A 21,810-nucleotide genomic window follows, 5' to 3' on the forward strand; every position below is an offset into this window, starting at 1 on the left:
GTCACAGAGCTGATGCAGACTCAAATTTCCATGGTCTTTGTACACATATTTACTGCCTCTTTCAAATTTATCTTTTATAGTCAAAAATATAGTTATTTCTTATGTATTCATAAATATTTCCATTGGAAAATCTATGTTATGGGTCTGGTACCACTGTGTCATTAGGAATTGTTATCAAAACATATTATAGGTATAATAGAAGGAACAAAACCTACATGTAGAGAGAGCAAAGCAGGCAACCAGAAGTCATCTCTAGCCCTTACCTTTACAATCACTGTGACAGTAGCAATACCAGGTGGCATTGTTCCATAAATATCAAAGGCCTCTACCAGAAAAGTGATACTTGCTTCTTGGTCTGGAAATGCCTCATAATCTAAACTCCTTAAAAGCGATAGTTCTCCTGTAAATGGATGTAGTGCAAAAAAGTGCTTCACTTCTGGGCTTCTTATCCGGTAAGACACATTTGCTCCAAGGTCGACATCTTTGGCCTGTAATAAGCAGAAGAATAGTTTTATTAGTGACGTTACCAAAATAAAGAAATGCAGGAAGGATGGAAGTCATGCGTTAGTGCCTAGGACAGCATCAATTTAACGAGGACAAAAAGACACGTTTTTTGTTTTTGTTTTTTAAAAAAGCACATTATTTAATAATTTACCAGGGAAGAGAAGGAGGGATGGGGGAGAGAAAGATGGAGGCAGGGAGGAAAGGAGGGAGACAGTGAGAGGGAGAGTCAGAGAGAGAGAGAGAGGGATCTTTCTATAAGATTTTGTCATTGTTGACGTTATTACTGTATCTGTTTAACTTGAAAAATCACTAAATGAACTATATCACAGTAAAAAAATAAATATTGTCTTAAATGACTGTTTCTTATTTTCTACTGATTTGATAATCATGAACAAATATTTTAAATAAAAATAAATACTGAGTGATTTCCATAAACATAATAGATGGCTAAAGTACTATAAGAAAACTGAGAAAATATAAGTAGTAATTATTTGTCACAGGGATCCTATAATACATTTCTAGAGATCACTCTACCATACTTCCTTTGATTTAACTAGGATTTGAGTAGTAGTTACGCACAAGGTGCTGTAGAGAGCACCAAAATGAATCCAGACACAATTACTGCCCTACAGGTTATGGTCTCAGAGAAGAAACAAGACACAAATACTAAAATAGAAAGGAAAAAAATGTGACATGCTATCTAAAAGATGTTCTAAATTGGGAACGATATCCTTTAGCTGAAAGGATGGGTTTTCATGGGAGTCTTGTAGAATGGCTATTTCACTCAGCAGTACAGACTGGCAAATGCACCTCAGGTACAGAAAACCGAATGGAGCAAGAATGAAAATGGGGAAGATCCAGAGTATGCTATAATGTGCATTTTTAAATGCAAACACCTCCTATGGTGAACCTCAGCCTTGGTCTCCTCCAATCAATTATTGACTTAACAATCAGAAAGATGCTATTAAAGCATACATTTTATTATGTGGTTTTTCCTGCTTAAAATCCCCTGGTTTTTAATTCAATTTTCAATCAACGCCATTATCCTTAACATGGTAAGAGCCACTACATTTTCTAGACCTTTAGCCCCTCACCCCTCACACTTTCCCATCTTCCATGATTTTGACCAGGCTTTTTCCCCCCAACTACTTTGAACAATCTTTCTTCCTTTTCTGCTTGGATAGCTCTTACTTGTCCCTCAGTTCACCATTTAGAAATAAGTTTCTCTAGCAAATATTCTCTTTGCCTTAAGATTAGGTTAGGAGCTCCACCTCTATTACCTAGGCCCTTTGTACTGAGGACCTACGTTTTAACTACTAATTTTCTTGACTGATAGCTAAACCAGCCTGAAAACTCGAAGAAAGCAGTAAATTTGTTTTGTTCACCTTTGTATCCCCAAAGTCTTTGCATCCCCTAGGACAGCATGAATTTAACAACACCAGCAGGAGACTTGGCATACTATACATACTGAAGACATGTTTGTTAAATAAATAACTTAACTAATTAATTAATTGACAGATGAATGGTGGAATAGATGAAGGAATAATTGTTCTCTCCCTGGCCAGTATTTGCCTTATTTAGATTTGTTAATGTTTATTGCTGAGTTCAATTATGGAAGGGATACAGAGTCTGGAAAAGTATGCTAAAAACATTCAAGTTGTGGACTGCAGGTGGAAAAATGGCTACTTTTTTTTTTTTCCAAAACATACCTTATAGACCAACTGAGTCAGTATTAAATGAGGTGGTTGCTTAAAAATGCAGATTTATGGATCAGCCTAATCTACTGAATCAAAATGTTCAGGACTGTGTAATTTATAGTTAAAAACTTAAAAAAGAGGCTTGATACAGAGATGTCATTAAAAAGGAGAGTTAGATTACTAGAAGATGGCTTTTGTGTATTGAATGTGAAAACAATACAGAATAATGGGTATAAACAATATTTGTAAAATAGAGGGGAAACCAATTTGTAACTCTCTATATTTTTTCTGTGTGTACACATTTATGTTATATATGTATAACCCACACAAATTCATATATATATATGTATTTTTTGACATTTGTGTGAACACAAAGATAAATGTGAAATAAATTTAATGCTGAGTACTCTGGAGGCACAATGTGGGAGATTATTAACTTTTGCTTCATAAACTATTGTATTGTCAACTGTTGGAATAAACAGAATATTACTTTTGTAAATTAAAAAACTATTAAAAAGTATATTTTTAATTTCTTACAAATAGATCTTTCTGCCCTTAATTTTTGGGATATCTTTAAAGTAGGCTTGCCACATAAAATACAATATGCAATATTGGAGAAATAATAAAAATTTATTCATTGTTTATCTGAAATTAAAATCCAACTTGGTATGTTGTATTGTTACTTGCTAATTTTGGCACACAAACCCTAATAGCAAATCTCCTAATGTAGGATTCATGTAATAAATGCTTTTTCCCACACACCTCTATTTGAAGGATGGTAGTCCCAGCTGGCAAATTCTCTTCAACAAGGACAGTGTATGTTGAATTGGTGAACACAGGACTGTTATCATCAATGTCCAAAACCTTGATGGCCAAGGTTAGAGTTGAATGACGAGGGTGTACTGCTCCATCTGTTGCCACAACAACAAGTTCATAGTAGTCCCTGACTTCTCTGTTAAGCTTCACTGCTGTGTAAATGCTCCCATTGGATGTGATACGAAAAAGATTATTAAAGTTACCCAAACTGTAGTGCACTTGACCATTTATTCCAGCATCAGGGTCTGTTGCCTATTAAATAAAACAAAAAAACAAAAAAATTCACGTAAGTTTTGACGGGCTACTGTAAATGAAGGTAACAGTTAACAAATTATGGTATTTTTCTAACCAAAAATTATTTGGCCCTCTAAGGAGGAAATGACAATGACAATACAATGCAAAATTTAAAACATGAAAAATATTATACTTTAATATTCTTCATTTAAAATTAACATAACAAAAACGGATAATGTCATTAGCAATAACAATACTATGTTATGACAGAAAACTCATAAAAATACTGAATCTTTGTCTTATGATTTTAATAGGTTTTGAATTCTAAAGTGAGAAAAAATTTTGTTTGTAATTCATTTAACATAATCTGCCGAGTGACAATTTAAGATTATGTAGGTTTTTGCTCACTGTATATATTCATTTTATATTTATATATGTTTAGTAATAATGTTACACATTATGTTTGTTTATAATAAATAATATTTTATTATGTTATGCTGTTATTTATGTGATAATGTTTATTATAATAAACATTAATCATATTTACCATAAATAATATTTATAAGTATAACCTGACTTAATCCTCATGATGTTGTTATGAGTAAATATTATTAATCTCATTTTACAAATGAGAACACTGTGGCTTATGGAAGGTTACACAAGAAAGAAATATCTCAGTGTCCCAGTTCTTAACACAATACTTCATATATAAAAGTACTTAACAAATGCTTGTGGAATTAATGAACATTAGATGAAATAAAACAGATTTGAAACTAAATCTGTTCCAAAAGTCAAATAGGATTAAAACTACAGTAACTGTAATGTATGTGCAAGGGACTCTTTTTCAACATTAGAATATACATCTCTGCATAAGTAAGAATGTTTGATACCATAATATACCTATATTTACTGAAAATTTGAAGTCATGTAAAATCACTTTGCATCAAATAAAATGAGAAAATATTGAGTAAATATTCATCGAATGAAATGTAATAAGAATTAATCTTAGCTAAAACTCAATTGTGATACTAATTATGAATCTCACTATCAGCTACTGTATATTTTGTTTTGAAAAGTTCCATGTAAAAGAAACTGAAATAAATCTTAGAAACTGTAAAATATTATATAATTATGCCCCAAACTGTCAACAAGGAAAGGAAGGAAAACAAGACACTTGGCTGCCTTATGAGCCAGGGACACAAAAATCACTCGAGGTCCATAAAGCGTGGAATGCAATATGATGTATTTTAACAGCACATATGCAGTGGTATATCCAGTTTTACAGGCAATGGTAAAGCATGCAGAATGGGGATGCTGAATATTTGCATCTTCTTTGAAACAAGAATGTCTAAGATGTGAAAATCATGTTTACAACAGTGCTCCTATATGTCATAATGCCAAGCATTTCAGCAGGATTTGTCTCTTTGACTCATCAAAACACAACTGCCCCTGGGAGTTTGACATCTCTGAGGTTTAATTCTGAGAAAAGATAGAAGAATTGCAGAAATACCTGAAGAGAAAAAATACGGTGACAGAGTAGAATAGTTTCTGTTGATATAGTTTCTTTTACTTTTATACTTTGCCTAGAATTTGTCTTACGAATTATTGACAAATCAGTCAAGCTGATCATTCTAGTGAAAACAACCAACACTGCCTTCTCCCTTTTTCACCAAAAAAAGAGGGTGATCTCTTTTTTTGGTCTGAAATTACTCATCAAGTAAATAGATAAAATTGTAAGCCAAGAACAAAATATAAATATGTTTTGTTTCATAATAATAATACCCTTAAAAATTTCAGTCACTTTTTCTGTCTATGGAATATCTTAAGATCAAAAAAACTAATCATTTATGCAATTAGAAATTTAAATGACTCTTGTTCAAGTTGTTTTTATTGACCCATATAATTGAATATTTATTATGGTAGAATGGCTCAATTTGACTGATGTGGCTGTGTGTCCGTGTGTTTTATACATGTCCAGCTGCTTAACTATACATCCACTAGGAAACATATCTAAACATATCTAAATTAGTTTTGTTTTTGCTCCCATAGCAAATTATCACAAATTTAGCAGCTGACACAAAACAAGTTCATTATTTTAAAGCTCTATAGGTCAAAAATTCAAGATGGTCTCACCAGGGCTATGTTTCTTTCTGGAGACTCTAAGGAGAAACAACTTCTTTGCTCATTCAAGTTGTTGACAGAATTCAGTTGCTAGAGTTTGTAGAACTGAGATCCCCACTTCCTTGATGGTTGTCATGTGAGGACCAATCCCGGTTGCTAGAGGTCCCCATATCCCTTGGTTCATGACACATTTCCACCATTTTTTTTTTTTTTTTTGAGACCAAGCCTTGCTCTGTTGCCCAGGCTGGAGTGCAGTGGTGCGATCTCGGCTCACTGCAACCTCCGCCTTCTGGGTTCAAGCAATTCTCCTGCCTCAGCCTCCTGAGTAGCTGGGATTACAGGCACCTGTCACCATGCCCAGCTAATTTTTGCATTTTTAGTAGAGACCGGGTTTCACCATGTTGGTCAGGCTGGTCTCAAACCCCTGACCTTGTGATCCACCCGCCTCGGCCTCCCAAAGTGCTGGGATTACAGGCGTGAGCCACTGCGCCTGGCCATTTCTTCCATTTTTAAAGCCAGCAATGGTGGTCAAGCCCCTCACATTTTTTGAATCCCTCCCTCCATCTTTTTCCATTTTATCTTTCTGACCTACTCTTCAGGCATCCTCCTTCACTTTTAAGGGCATGTAAGATTACATTATGCTCCCTTGGACAATCCAGGATAGTATCCCCATCTCAGAATTTTTAACCTTGATATATGTGTGTGCACATGTGTGCAAGTGTGTGTATACTGCCATATATAAATATATAGCAATCTATATTTTAGGATGGGATTTTTTTTTTTTTTTGAAACAGGTCTTGCTCTGTCACCCATGCTGGTGTGCAGTGGTGTGATCTAGGCTCACTGCAACCTTCACCTCCCAGGCTCAAGCAATCCTCCCACCTCAGCGTCCTGCGCAGCTGGCACTACAAGCACATGCCCCCAGGCCTGGCTAATTTTTTGTATTTTTATCAGAAACGGGGTTTCCTCTTGTTGCCCAGGTCAGTTTTGAACTTCTGGGCTTGAGCCATCCTCCCCCTTTGGCTTCTCAAAGTGCTGAGATTACAGGCATGAGCCATCTCACCTGGCCGGATAGGAGTTTTTAGAGAAAATATCCAAGCAGATATTCATTAAGCAGACTGACAGTAAATGCTAAATGGGGCATCCTCACCAATAGAGTTTCAGAATTTTAAATAATCAGTTTAAATTGGTATAAATTACGATATGTCAAGTACACACACATTTTGACTGAATCTATGACAACTTAATTCACTGAATTCAAAGCTACCATGACAAGAAGTATATTTGATGCTTATGGAAAAAAAGACTACAATATCTTTGGCTCTGTTTATATGCTGGATTACATTTACTGATTTGCGTATATTGAACCAGCTTTGCATCCCAGGGATGAAGTCCACTTGACAGTAGATGCAGAAAAAGCGTTTGACAAAATTCAACGACACTTCATGCTAAAAACTCTCAATAAATTAGGTATTGATGGGACTTATCTCAAAATAATAAGAGCTATCTATGACAAACCCACAGCCAGTATCATACTGAATGGGCAAAAACTGGAAGCATTCCCCTTGAAAACTGGCACAAGACAGGGATGCCCTCTCTCACCACTCCTATTCAACATAGTGTTGGAAGTTCTGGCCAGGGCAATTAGGCAGGAGAAGGAAATAAAGGGTATTCAATTAGGAAAAGAGGAAGTCAAATTGTCCCTGTTTGCAGACGACATGATTGTATATCTAGAAAACCCCATTGTCTCAGCCCAAAATCTCCTTAAGCTGATAAGCAACTTCAGCAAAGTCTCAGGATACAAAATCAATGTACAAAAATCACAAGCATTCTTATACACCAACAACAGACAAACAGAGAGCCAAATCATGAGTGAACTCCCATTCACAATTGCTTCAAAGAGGATAAAATACCTAGGAATCCAACTTACAAGGGATGTGAAGGACCTCTTCAAGGAGAACTACAAACCACTGCTCAAGGAAATAAAAGAGGATAGAAACAAATGGAAGAACATTCCATGCTCATGGATAGGAAGAATCAATATCGTGAAAATGGCCATACTGCCCAAAGTAATTTACAGATTCAATGCCATCCCCATCAAGCTACCAATGCCTTTCTTCACAGAATTGGAAAAAACTACTTTAAAGTTCATATGGAACCAAAATAGAGCCTTCATCGCCAAGTCAATCCTAAGCCAAAAGAACAAAGCTGGAGGCATCACACTACCTGACTTCAAACTATACTACAAGGCTACAGTAACCAAAACAGCATGGTACTGGTACCAAAACAGAGATATAGATCAATGGAACAGAACAGAGCCCTCAGAAATAATGCTGCATATCTACAACTATCTGATCTTTGACAAACCTGAGAAAAACAAGCAATGGGGAAAGGATTCCCTATTTAATAAATGGTGCTGGGAAAACTGGCTAGCCATATGGAGAAAGCTGAAACTGGATCCCTTCCTTACACCTTATACAAAAATCAATTCAAGATGGATTAAAGACTTAAACGTTAGACCTAAAACCATAAAAACCATAGAAGAAAACCTAGGCATTACCATTCAGGACATAGGCATGGGCAAGGACTTCATGTCTAAAACACCAAAAGCAATGGCAACAAAAGACAAAATTGACAAATGGGATCGAATTAAACTCAAGAGCTTCTGCACAGCAAAAGAAACTACCATCAGAGTGAACAGGCAACCCACACAATGGGAGAAAATTTTTGCAACCTACTCATCTGACAAAGGGCTAATATCCAGAATCTACAATGAACTCAAATTTACAAGAAAAAAACAAACAACCCCATCAAAAAGTGGGCGAAGGACATGAACAGACACTTCTCAAAAGAAGACATTTATGCAGCCAAAAAACACATGAAAAAATGCTCATCATCACTGGCCATCAGAGAAATGCAAATCAAAACCACAATGAGATACCATCTCACACCAGTTAGAATGGCAATCATTAAAAAGTCAGGAAACTACAGGTGCTGGAGAGGATGTGGAGAAATAGGAACACTTTTACACTGTTGGTGGGACTGTAAACTAGTTCAACCATTGTGGAAGTCAGTGTGGCGATTCCTCAGGGATCTAGAACTGGAAATACCATTTGACCCAGCCATCCCATTACTGGGTATATACCCAAAGGACTAGAAATCATGCTGCTATAAAGACACATGCACACATATGTTTATTGTGGCATTATTCACGATAGCAAAGTCTTGGAACCAACCCAAATGTCCAACAATGATAGACTGGATTAAGAAAATGTGGCACATATACACCATGGAATACTATGCAGCCATAAAAAATGATGAGTTCATGTCCTTTGTAGGGACATGGATGAAATTGGAAATCATCATTCTCAGTAAACTATCGCAAGAACAAAAAACCAAACACCGCATATTGTCACTCATAGGTGGGAATTGAACAATGAGATCACATGGACACAGGAAGGGGAATATCACACTCTGGGGACTGTTGTGGGGTGGGGGGAGGGGGGAGGGATAGCATTGGGAGATATACCTAATGCTAGATGACGAGTTAGTGGGTGCAGCGCACCAGCATGGCACATGTATACATATGTAACTAACCTGCACAATGTGCACATGTACCCTAAAACTTAAAGTATAATAATAATAAAAAAAAGACTACAATATCCCCCAGAAAGCTACTCTAAAAATTTTAAGGTGACTGAGACACACATCTAATGGAAACAAAGGGAACAGAATATAAAATGCAGAGCTATTTCCTTATCTATTCCTATGTCCCCATTAAATTAAGGAGCATAAATAAGGTGATGTAAGTTAAGCAACATGAGCTGGCTAAGCAAGGCAGTTTTACTTCTTTACTATTCTAGATGAACATGTAGATGTTAAACAAGATAACCAAACATAGAATCCCTTATTATCAGCAGTACTGTCAAGAACTTTGCATTGATGTTTAATATTTAGTCAAGCAGCTCAGTGTATGATGCTATAATGAAAATATATATTTTCCTAGAAATCAATTAAAAGTTAATTAAATTTGTTAATAAGAAAAATAACACATCTCTTTTCCCCTTGTACTACATCAAAGCAATGAACAGTAATAGCTGCAACTTTATAATCATCTGTCCATGGTTAACACATTTTTGTAATATACACCTTACTATGGGGCCTGATTTGTGGCTACTAATTTGTGAATGCATATTGCTGGGAAATTGGCTGATAGCCTGTAGTCAAATAAAGACCTCACTGGACAGAACTTTGAATAATTGCCAGAAACACCACTTGCAAACCTTATTCATTAACACCAAAGTTAGAGTATATGAAAGACAACCAAGTAATTACTTAAGAAAAAAGTCAAGGGAATTTATTGAACCAAAGTTTTTTGTATAATTTTTGAGAAGCGATTTTATAGCATGCCACTTGAAAAGGGAAAAGGGAAATATATTTCTTAAACACTAAATTCATTCCCCACCCCTTTTTTTCTCATTATCTTCTTAGAATGGTCTGTTACACAATTCTTTCCATCCATAAAAGTGGAAGTCCATTACTGGGTTTGCTACCCTGGGGGTTACCAGTCCTGTAGAGAAGACCTTAAAGCATGCCTGTATGGGTGGAATATACTAGGATAAAACCTCAAAGAACAGGTTGATGTTTGCACTCCTTCCACTGAGAAGTCCCTGGGTAGGTTACTTGTGTAATTTACAATGATTCATTTCCATTTAAAATATGTCAAATATCCATTCAGATTAATTATTTAGATAGAAAATTTTATGACAAAAATCAGCCCCAAGGAAATAACTTGAGGACAAAACCAAAATGTTATAGCTATTATAAAGGTGTGAACTACCATGTAGCACCTAATTGGCCCAGTGTGAAGCTGAGAGAGTGCTTTGCTCTACCTTTTGCTTGTCCTTTACAGCGATTTAAGAGGTCGTGTACATCTTTCTCACTTTGAAGTGGGAACCATAAAAGCTGTTGATCAGGGAGGTTGGGCAGTGCATCCTTCATGACATTATTAGTGAAAATACATTTTTAAAATTATTATCTATTAACTTCAAAAAGATGTACAATAGTTGTCTTTTTTTTTTTTTTTTTAAGGAGCTGAGCTATTTCAAGGGCTGTGATTATTAGTGTAAAAGGAGACAAGCAATTTAAAGACTCATAATGCAGGTAAATTTTTTCACTCTCCACACAAATGCCTCATAATCATTATTGAACAATGGCAAGTAGACTTACTGGCCAGAAGATAACTTGCATAACTTGAATTAAAATCACTAAAAACATAACCAGAATGAATAGCTTTTCATTCTAGTCCCTAGAAATCTAGTCCCTAGAAAACACATATTTAACACAAATAATTTCTCAAGGGGTCAGCTATTATTCTAAGATACACAATAAACTACATTTTATCCTAGCATTCAAGGCTCTACCTGGTCTTGTTCTAACCTATCTTTATGCATTTATATCCCTCAGACTAACTCTCTGACACAAACTCTGTGTTTTAGTCAAAGGAGTCTATTTATGGTATGAATCACCACCAAGAAACTCTCAAGTGTCAGTGGTTTGTTACCACTGATGTTTCTTTCTCGCCTATACAGCACCCACTGTGAATTCCAAATCCAGCTTTACTCTATCTTGTCTTTACTCAGAAGAGAAGCTAAAGGAGCAGGCTTCATTGGAATATGAAGCTCATGTGGTGCAAGAAGAAAAAAAGACATGAGATAGCCAAGCTGCAGCTTTTAACGCTTCTGCTTGGAGGTCAACGTATCACCTATACTCCTGCTTCATCGTTGAAGGCAAATCACATGACAAGGCCGATGTCAAGGGGTGCAGAAATTCCATTCCCTCACACAGTGGGACAGTGATAAATCAGAAACACTTTTACAATGTACTACCCTGGTTTTCCTTGAAATGACCATGCTCTCCCTCACCTTCCCTGATATAGGTTTTTTTTTTGTTTGTTTTTATTTTCCCCCAATCCAACTTAAACGTTCAAAACCTAGCTTCAGTTCTACTTCATCTGGGAAACCTCTTCTTTCCATCCAGCCTTCTGGTCCCTCTTGCACATAGCAAAACTCACTTTTTATTGCTATTTAAGTATGCTACGCAATTAAATAATTGGCCTAAAAATCTGTGGTGTATCCATGTATTATGTAATAGGAGACACTGTTAGAGAAAAGAATCTGTAAATTGTTTTGTGGAGTGTACAATGTATGAGAAGTGGAAAGTTGGAGCACAGATGGAAATATGGTAGAGAAGGAAAAAAAAAAGATAGCAAGCAAATAAAAATAAACAATATTCCTGTAGTTGGGTGTTATTTAACGCAAATGAACTGAAGGTGTCAAATTAAATAAGACAGTTTAAGCTGTTCCAACATAACCTGCAGGCCTCTTACTAAGTAAGCATTAGGAAGAAACTTTGCACTAAAAACCTTTACATATTCAGTTCTCATGTTAATGGTAAACACTTGAAGATTATGACATCAATGCTTCAGGAAAAGAGTTGTTGTCATGTTCACGCTCATACAGCAAAGAAAGAAAGTAATGTTGTTTCATGTTCATTAAATGTATTTACATAGTAAGGCTGTCTTTTCCCTTTTTCAAATATTCCTTATAGTGCTGAAAACGAAGAGGAAAACCTGGGAGGACTCATTTCATATTTCCCCACCATTGCTTAGTATTTGATAATTATGCAGTATAGGTTGAGTGTGTATATACCTCTTTATGTGATGGTAAAAAAAATTATATATTAAATTATATTTAGTTTTCCAACCTCTTCTTACTTCTATTTCTCCAACTTCTTCATTCTCATCTTTTTCTCTGTGGGCGAACATATTCTTACCACTAAATCTAAGTGCATTTTGCCATACTAACCATGCTATTTCATGTCTGCTTTATCCAGTCATAAAATCTTCCCCTTATTTCCAAAACTGATTATTCTTCAGCCCTAGTATCACCTCTCAGAAGCATCTGAGTAAGCTAAATGCCTCATCTTCATGCTCCTGAAGCTCATTGTATGTTTCTTTACCACATGCCCTATTGCTTTTTTTCTGTCATTTTTTAATAGCCCACATGAAATTAAGAATTCATAAGGACAGGATGGCTTATTTATATCATACAATGCCTGCTTTATTTTTCTTTTTGCAATGACATAGGTTAGATATGCAATAATTTCTGCCAAAATTTCTTCTGAAGCTATTTCCATTTTTCAATTACATATCATTCCCACCCCAACCACCCAAACACATGAAGAAATAAAAATTGCCAATTAGTATTTATAATTTTGTCTTAAAAGAAGGTATGTTTTCTGTTTATTAGAAGAAATATAAGAAAATAAGACACATTTTGTTCTTTAAATAAAACTTAAGTGATCACATAACTACTTATTAAACTTTGTCCTTTTGTTACATTTTATTGCTTTCTTGTTTTCAATTTTGTCACTATATTAGTCAGTTTTCACAATGCTATAAATAACTTCCCAGAAACTGGGGGATTTATAAATGAAAGAGGTTTAATTGACTCAGTTTCACATGGCTGGGGAGGTCTCAGGAAACTTACAATCATGGTGGATGGTGAAGGGGAAGCAGGCAACTTCTTTACCTGGTGACAGAAAAGAGTGAAGAAGGAACTCCCAATCACTTATAAAACCATCAGATCTAGTAAGAACTCACTCACTGTCATAAGAAGAGCATGGGGGAAGCCTCCCCCATGATCCAGTCACCCCGCTCCTTGGACAAGTGGGGATTATAGGTCCCTCCCTCAACACATGGGGATTACAAATCGAGATGAGATTTGGGTTGGTACACACAGCCAAACCATATCAGTCACCTAGAATTCTTTAAGGAAATCTATTTCTAGGTCAGTTTTAAAGTAAGTACAATATATATACCTATTTTTGTATAATTAAATATATTAGTTTAACTTTTAACAGTCTATTCTAGCATTGCTTAACCTTTTTCATTATCAACTCCTGTCAAAAGAGGATTTTAAGATTTTTTTCTTTCTAATAGAACCCTTATAAATTTGTACTTCCACAGATATATTTATGTATATATATTATCCATGCTTTATACATAAGAAAAGTAAGGTTTTCTTGTCTCCCAAAACCTGATTTTCCACATTGGAAATGATCTACCACCGTTGAGAATGCATGCTCTAGCCAAAAGAGAGTCCTCTGTAACTTCCTTATATACCATAAACATTTCCACATAAGCATTGTTCTTTCAGCACTCATTACAGTGGCATCACTTTCTAAAATGTCTGTCCATATTACTATATGGGGCAACTCAGGGTATCTCTGAGCTTGTACTCAATACTCATCACTTCTTAAGTAATGAAATAAGGGAAAAATACCATCTCCATGAATTGCATTTTATGTGATAATCTGCTTAGCCCAGGCCTTCCTATTTATTTGATTATGCTTACATTTTCTGCCAAGTTATAACACAAAGTATTGTGGTTTGTTTTCTGAATAACTATTTTAAATAGTCTTCTCTATGCTTATTGAATATGTGACATTTTGCTTATCAGGTGTTTTTATAGGTCCTATATACTAATCCAAGTTTTAATTTTCTTTTTTCTAGTATTCTGTTGGGTTCAATATAAACATGCCCATGCCCTTCTCTGAAGAGTCAAGAGTAATGTATACCTTAAGCATTGTCCTTCTGTCACAGGGCTTTTCATTATATTACATTGTCTCACAAATCATTTTCTTGTATCATTTCTAGAAAAAAAATTCTTAACTGGAAACTGAAAAGAATGTGACAGCCAGATTGGATTCTCTGTGAAATTCTATACAATTAAATTTTCTGGATAACATTCAAGTAAAGGATTAACAGAATTGTAAGTAAAACAAGAGCAATAAAAATGCCTCTGGCTAATATAATAACTATTTAATGAGAGAAAAATATCTCTTAATTTCCCAATACTATCAATCATTTCATTTGCTGAATATAAGCTCACGTTTTTCCCAAACAATACCCATAAAATTAAAGGTGTTTTTCTCTATTTTACACACATTGTCACAATTTGACCTACCTTGATAACATCACAGGGATAGAGCCAGATATAGGTTCCAGTTTTATTTTATCATCACTCATTCCTTGAGCTAGTTTAGTAATTTTCAGCTGTTTCATTACCTTAATTTGGGATGTCTCCAAATTGGTTGATTTAAAAATGTATGTTAGGTATTCATTTTGCTGACAACAATTCACTGAAGTAACTGAGGATCATGTTTTCTAATGTCTTGTCCAACACAGTAATTTAAATTAGGAAAACAGAATTAATTGGAAGAAACAACTTATGTTTCTCTATCTACTCCCTGGGACTGCATTCAAAGAGCTAAGATGTACACAATGTGAAACTGCCTTTTGAATTAGAAGTTATGAACTCAGATTCTGCTGTGTCCTTCCTTTTCCAGCTGCCTTCCTTCAGATATACTTTCCTAGTACCTTCCTGTGTGCTACTATGTAAATAGTAGGTAACTATTTTAGAATCATTCCTCAGCAGCAGGCTTTATGAAAAGTGCTGTCAGTTTGTTTTCTTTAATTGTGGTGTAAACAGTACTGCTGCTTACCTTAATATTAATTATATACACACATTTTTAGAAGTTACAGATATATAAAAGGGCCAGGTACTTTATTAACATCCTTTTTTCTTTCTGGTAAAGGTAAAATAAGCCAGATTGGAGATTAAAAAGTGTAGGAAACTTCATTTGGATGCCATTCCTTTGTTAATTGTTAGCATGTAGGCAATAAGAGGAATATTTCAATATCAATTGGCCAAGCAGAAATTTTCCTGAGAATAACAGAATGTTTTCAATGACATGTTATTTATGGAGTGTAACTGTTCCACAGGAGCAGTCTAGTCAGTAGAATTAAATGATACTGTATACTAGAACTGGAATCTGAGATAAAATAGAAGTGGTAAGTTTACAGGCACACTCTGTTTCATTGCACGTGGCTTTATTGTGCTTCACGGACGTTGCATTTTTTACAAATTGAAGGCTTCTGACAAAGATGCCTTAAGCAAATATATTGGCACCATTTTTCCAACAGCGTGTGCTCATTTCATGTCTCTGAGGCACATTTTGGTAATTCTCAGAATATGACAAACTTTTAAATTACTACTGGATCTGTTATGGTGATCTATGATTAGTGATCTTTTAAGTTACTATTGTGGTTGTGTTGGGGTGCCGCAGAACACACCATATGAGAGCAAATTTAATTAATAAAGGTTCTATGTATACATTTTTTTGACACATGGTCCAAGATGAGATGGTGTATGTGTTCTGATTTCTCCACCCACTGACCATTCCCCCATCTTTCTCACTTTCCTTGAGCCTTCCTATTCTCTGAGACACAGTGAAATTAAAATTAGGCCAATTAATAACCCCACTATGTATGGGCTCTAAGTGTTTAAGTGAAAGAGTTGTGTGTCTCTGATTTGAAATTAAAAGCTAGAAATGATTAAGCTTAGTGAGAAAGGTAGGTCAAAAGCTGAGAAAGCTTAAAAACTTGGCCTCTTGTGCCAGTTAGCCACATTGTGAACGCAATGGAAAAGATATTTCATAAATTAAAAGTTCTACTCCAGTGCAAACACAAATCATAGGAAAGTAAAACAACCTGATGTGAAGCTGATGTGAAGAAAGTTTGAGTGGTCTGGATAGAAGATCAAACTAGCCACAACATTCCCGTAAGCCAAAGCCTAATCTGGAGCAAGACCTTAACTCTCTTCCTTTCTCTGGAGCTTGAGAGAGGGAAGGAAGCTGCAGAAGAAAAGTCTGAAGCTAGTAGAGGTGGGTTCATGAAATTTAAGGGAAAAATAAAAAGCCATCTCCATAACATAAAAGTGCAAGGTGAAGCAGCAAGTGCAGATGCAGAAGGTGTTGCAGCTAGTTATCCAGAAAATCCAGCTAAGATATTTGTAGAGGGTGGCTACGCTAAAAAAACAGATTTCCAATGTAGATAAAACAGTTTTCTATTAGAATATGCCATCTAGAACTTCCGTAACTTAAAACAGAGAGGTCAATGCCTAGATTCAAGGTTTCAAAGGATGGGCTGACTTTCTTGTTAGGTGCTAAGAGCTGGTGACTTTAAGTTGAAGCCAATATTTATTGACCATTCTGAAAATCCTAGTGCACTTAAGAATTCTGTTAAATTTACTCTGTCTGTGATCAATAAATGGAATAACAATGCCTAATAAAAGCATATATTTATGGAAGCATAAACTATGTTTACAGCATAGTTTAGCAAGTATTTTAAGCCCATGGTTGAGTCCTACTGCTCAGGAAAAAAAAAAGACTTCTTTCTAAACATTACTGCTCATTGAGAATGCACCTGGTCACTCAAGAGTTCTGATGGAGATGTAAAAGGACATCAGTGTTGTTTTCTTGCCTGTTAACACAACTTCCACTCTGCAGCTCATGGATAAAGGAGTAAATTTGAGGTTTTCATCTTATTATATAAGAAATAAATTTCATAAGATTATAGCTGTCATTGATAGTTATTCCTCTGATGGATCTGCGCAAAGTGAACTAAAAATCTTATGGAAATGATTCACCATTCTAGATGCCAATAGCAACATTTTTGATTCATGGAAGGAGGTAAAAATATCAACATTAATAGAAGCTTGGAAGAAGTTGATTTCTTCCTTCATGAATGACTCTGAGAGGTTCAAGAGAGGTTTAAGACTTCAGTTGGATGAAGGAATTGCAGATGTGATAGACATGGTGAGAACTAGAATTAGAGGTGGAGCCTGAAGATGTGAGTGAATTGCTGTAATCTTATGATAAACTTGAACAGTTGAGGAGTTGCTTTTTATGGAAGAGCAAAGAAAGTGGTTTCTTGATATGATACCTACTCCTAATGAAGATGCTGTGAACATTGTTGAAATAGCAACAGATAATTTAGAATATTTTATATACTTTGCAGCAAGGATTAAGAAGATTGACTCCAATTCTGAAAAAAACTTATTTAGCTACAATGCTATCAAACAGCATCACTAGCTACAGAAAAAAATTTAATGAAAGCAAGAAGTATTCAATGCAGCACAATTCATTGTTGTCTTATTTTAAGAAACTGACACAGCCATCCCAACTTCAGCAACCACCCTCCTAATCAGTGAGCAGCCACCGACAGTGAGACAAGACCCTCTATCTGTATAAAGATTAAGACTTGCTGAAGGTTCAGATGATTGACAGTATTTTTTTAAGCCATAAAACACTTTAATTAAGGTATGGACACTGTTTTTCAGACACAATGCTAATTGCAGTATGGAGTATACTTAATGGAGTATAGTATAGTGTAAAAATAATATTTATATGCACTGGGAAACCTAAAACCTTATGTGACTCGCTTTGTTGCAACATTTGCTGTATTACTGTGGTCTGGAAGAGAACTCTCAATATGTCTGAAATATGCTTGTATTAAAAATGTGTATTGCTTTGAGAAACAGAAACTCTACAACCTATCTACCAAGAATCTTTGCAGATAATAAAGAAAGAAGTTATTGACTTATTTCAAACTTAAAGTCTGAGGAGTCTAAATGGAGACTGAAGTTACGTCTAACATGACAAGTGTGAACCACTTTGATTTGGTTTGCCCAGAGGAAACATTACTCCTGCTACTTTCATAAAGACTGATTGCTTTTGACAGAAATCTGTCTGTGCAGAGTTGGATGAGTATGATACTGAGAAGTCATAAAACCATTAGAAAAGACTGGGCTCAGAGGATCTCCTCATAAAAATGTTCACATAGAAGGAATAAGACAGTGAAAAAGAGGCTGTATTTGCTATATATCCACGTTTTGAATTATGACACACATAGGGAATATTTCCAGAGCTTGGTTTCAGAAATCCCAATGAACTAATTCTTCTGAGATATCATAAACTAAATAGTGGGAAAGCAAGCCAAAGAAATACTGTCTGATTTATTTATTTTGCAGACTGCACTTAGATTTTTTAAAAAAGAGCCTCTCACTTTGATTCTTGTATGACTTGAAGAAAAAGCTATACTGTATAAAGGTGTTTGCAGGTGGGTTCTCTGGCAAGCAGACAATGAGGCAGAGATTAGTTGCAAGAGTTTTGTTGGGGTATGCTTTGGGGGTCAACATTTTTGGAGGGCAAAGGACAAGACCAGAATTGGATTCAGGGAGAAAGTCAAACTACTGTGCAGGGTCAACTACAGCCTTGGCCAACCCAAGGAAGGAGCTGCAGAATTGCAATTGCATGTCACAGTTTTTCTGAGCTGGGGTAAAATGTCCAGCATTTTACACTCAGGCATCAGTCAGGATATGGGCTACACTGAAATGGGTGTGACTATGGGCAAGGGAACCTTCTGTAGATAAGGTCATCTCTGAAGTGGCTAGCAGCTGTACATCCCTCTTTACTCCTTCATCCCTACATCACTCCAAAAAGCCAAGACATTCAGCTCTACCTTCAAGGGAGATCTGCTTGGCACACAGTCTTCATAACAAGCCTCTATCTTGGATTGGTTTTTTTCTTAGAGTATAAAATCCTTGCTTAACAGAATATAGCAAATTTTATACACATACACACATATATTAAATTATTACAATATCATTCATTGTTTTCAAATGAAACAGCCAGCTACATTATTACCTCAAAGGTGAAAAAGTCTAGGGTTTGATTTTTTTGATCCAAACTAATATTTGTCATTTTCCACCCCTGTGCCCAGAGACGTAACTCATATTTTCCTGTTGAATTTGTTTCCCAAGTAGAAACAGAAGTCTTAAATATGATGAACTTTAGGTTTTTTCTTTTAGTTCTTATAAACACCCAGTATGGCAGTTATTATTGTCCATATTTTACAGCCAAGAATATTTCAGAAAAACAAAAAATAAGTTCATTTTCCTTTAGCTAGCAAATAAGAGTATTTGGATTTGAATTTAGAGTATGAATGTGCCATCTGTTTGTAATTTTTGTGCAGGTAGGGGATGCTGCTATAACTAGTGTAGCATTATTAATTATTCTAGCTGCATGATAGATTGGAGTCCAGAGATAGAAAGATGAGCTGGACATAATTTAGAATTCACTCTGAATTATTTTCATGATGGGGATTAAGGGCCATATCACACAAATACACACTTGAAGGTTATCATTACATAGCCCCTCAGACTTTACATATATTTCATTAGAAAAATAAAAATCTAAGTTACAGAGAATTGTCAGTGGGTTCCCTCAATGTCTCCCTTACTCTGTGGCAAGCTAGTCTGACATGATATCTAACAGAAGGAAAAACATACTTCAGATAAGTCATGGAAGTCATACCATGAAGTCATGAGAATTACAGTATATAGTGTGCCCAGAGCTGTGAATTCCACTAATTATTTTGAAACATTGAAATATTCATTTCAAAATAAATCTATAAACCATCCAACATCTGTACTTATCTTTATCATTCTCCTGCTGCTAAAATTGAGGAAAACTCCACTTCCTCCTAGGTTCTCAAGGGAACATATGACACTTGAGCTTTTGGGACTCTGTTGCCTCTCTTTCTGGCATTTCTACATCCCTCTTTACTCCATCTATTGCCATCAGTTTTCAAACCTGCTGAAGAATTTATCATTACAAAATAAAGAGAAATGAGAAAGAAAATATAATTGCTTCCTACTATGTCTGTTTTCCTACAATCTCTTCACATCCCAAGATTCTATGTGAGGGCAGTGGGTGGGGGAAGAAAAGGACAACATATATATCCATTGCACTCATTTATTAATGAGTTATTTTGTTATTTAGTCATGCAAATCATGCACTATACAAAACATACACTATGTTTCCTAATACTGTTTACTTAATTACTCTTAAAAAGTCATAATTAGTTCTTTAAAATGTAAAACTAAAATATGACAAATGATGCCATCTTTGCTATTGAGATGGTTTGGCTGTGTTCTCACCCAAATCTCATCTTGAATTGTAGCTCCCCTAATTCCCATGTGTTGTGGGTGGGACCTGGTGGGAGATAACTGAATCATGGGGGCGGTTTCCTCCATACTGTTCTCTTGGTAGTGAATAAGTCTCATGAGGTCTGGTCTGATGGTTTTATAAGAGGTTTCCCCTTTGCTTGGCTCTCATTCTCTCTTGCCTGCTGCCATGTAAGACGTGCCTTTTACTTTCTGCCATGATTGTGAGGCCTCCCCAGCCATGTGGAACTGTGAGTTCAATAAACCTATTTTTTCTTTATAAATTACCCTGTCTCAGGTATGTCTTTATCAGCAGCGTGAAAATGGGCTAATACATCTATATTCAGTTACTAAATGTGTTCTGTGAATGAAGTTGGATGTTGAATGCAGATGCTAATGTACTGCCACATGCCAGTTAGACACAATTATGTATGTATGGAGATATATATAATAAAGGGTACTTGTTTAGGAATATTTTACAAAAGCATGGCCTGTCAGTGTGCACCATACATTTCAGAGACATGATGAAAAAACATTACCACTAGAGTGTCACACTACAAATGTGATTTTTTGAATTCTCTATAAAAATGTCAATTTCCCAAGCTTAGCATATATGTGTGTCTAAATGTAATGGCAAGCTTCATAAATGATGAGCATGCCAATATACGAAGATTTGGATGCAATTATTTACTCTAAAACTTCATCAATATTATGTGGTTGCAGGTAACTTTTAAATAGGCCCTTTTGGATCTCACATGAATTGAAATAGGAAAAAAATCTATTTAAAGAAGTCCTGAAGTAGACGTATATGCTTAATATTAAACATTGTTTGAAATTGAAGAGTCTGGCTTAACACACTAAATTAAGAAAGAAGAAAGAAAGCAAGAAAGTTGGATGTTGAATGCAGATGCCAATGCAGTGCCACATACCAGTTAGATAGCATGTGGCAAGTTCTAATGGGCACAAAATGTGCCTTGTTCACATTAATGCTTTAGTGTAGCACTGAATTTGCCTCTCAGTAAATGTTAACTAAATTTAAAAAATAGTATTATTTTCCCCAAATACATCAATTCATAACATTACAAAATAATTATGCTATAAGTTTGATTTGACTTAACCATACATGTTTTCATCCATCAATTCATTCATTTATTCACCCACATTTATTGTTGACTTTAAGCTGAACAACATTTTCAGGGCTGGGGCTCTAACTAAGGACAAGAGTAATGTGTTCTTTGATCTTATGTCACTTGAACCAAGGTGAAAAAGTAGATATTAAAAAATAATTGCCTTTTAAAAATTATTACAGTGATAAACCTAAGTAATAAAGTAAATATGCATTGCATAATAAGAGCATACAGCAGGACTTTTAACCCGGCCTCCTGAAAATTACATTCTAATGGGAAAGACAAATGTCAACCAAAATATTAAGTTACGAAAATAAACAACTTCATATTTTAATGGACATTATGAAAAAGTAAAGTGAACTATGAGAGCACATAAATATAGGTACTTAAATCCAATAT

At 35.4% G+C, this 21,810-nt stretch overlaps 1 protein-coding gene across 20 annotated transcripts in view; it reads right to left on the reverse strand.

Annotated features, from left to right (window-relative positions):
- The window catches only part of PCDH15 (protocadherin related 15), a 1,825,172-nt gene that overhangs the window by 217,158 nt on the left and 1,586,204 nt on the right, over positions 1-21,810 (reverse strand). For all 20 annotated transcript variants that reach the window (XM_047425663.1, NM_001354420.2, NM_001354429.2 and 17 more), the window contains 2 exons: positions 2,964-3,269; positions 264-488 (listed from right to left, as the gene is read on the reverse strand). In XM_047425663.1, the coding sequence (XP_047281619.1) occupies positions 264-488; positions 2,964-3,269 (531 nt within the window). The remainder of the gene's footprint in view (positions 1-263; positions 489-2,963; positions 3,270-21,810) is intronic.

This window comes from Homo sapiens, chromosome 10 (genome assembly GCF_000001405.40).
Source record: "Homo sapiens chromosome 10, GRCh38.p14 Primary Assembly".
Classification (NCBI taxonomy): Eukaryota; Metazoa; Chordata; class Mammalia; order Primates; family Hominidae; genus Homo; species Homo sapiens.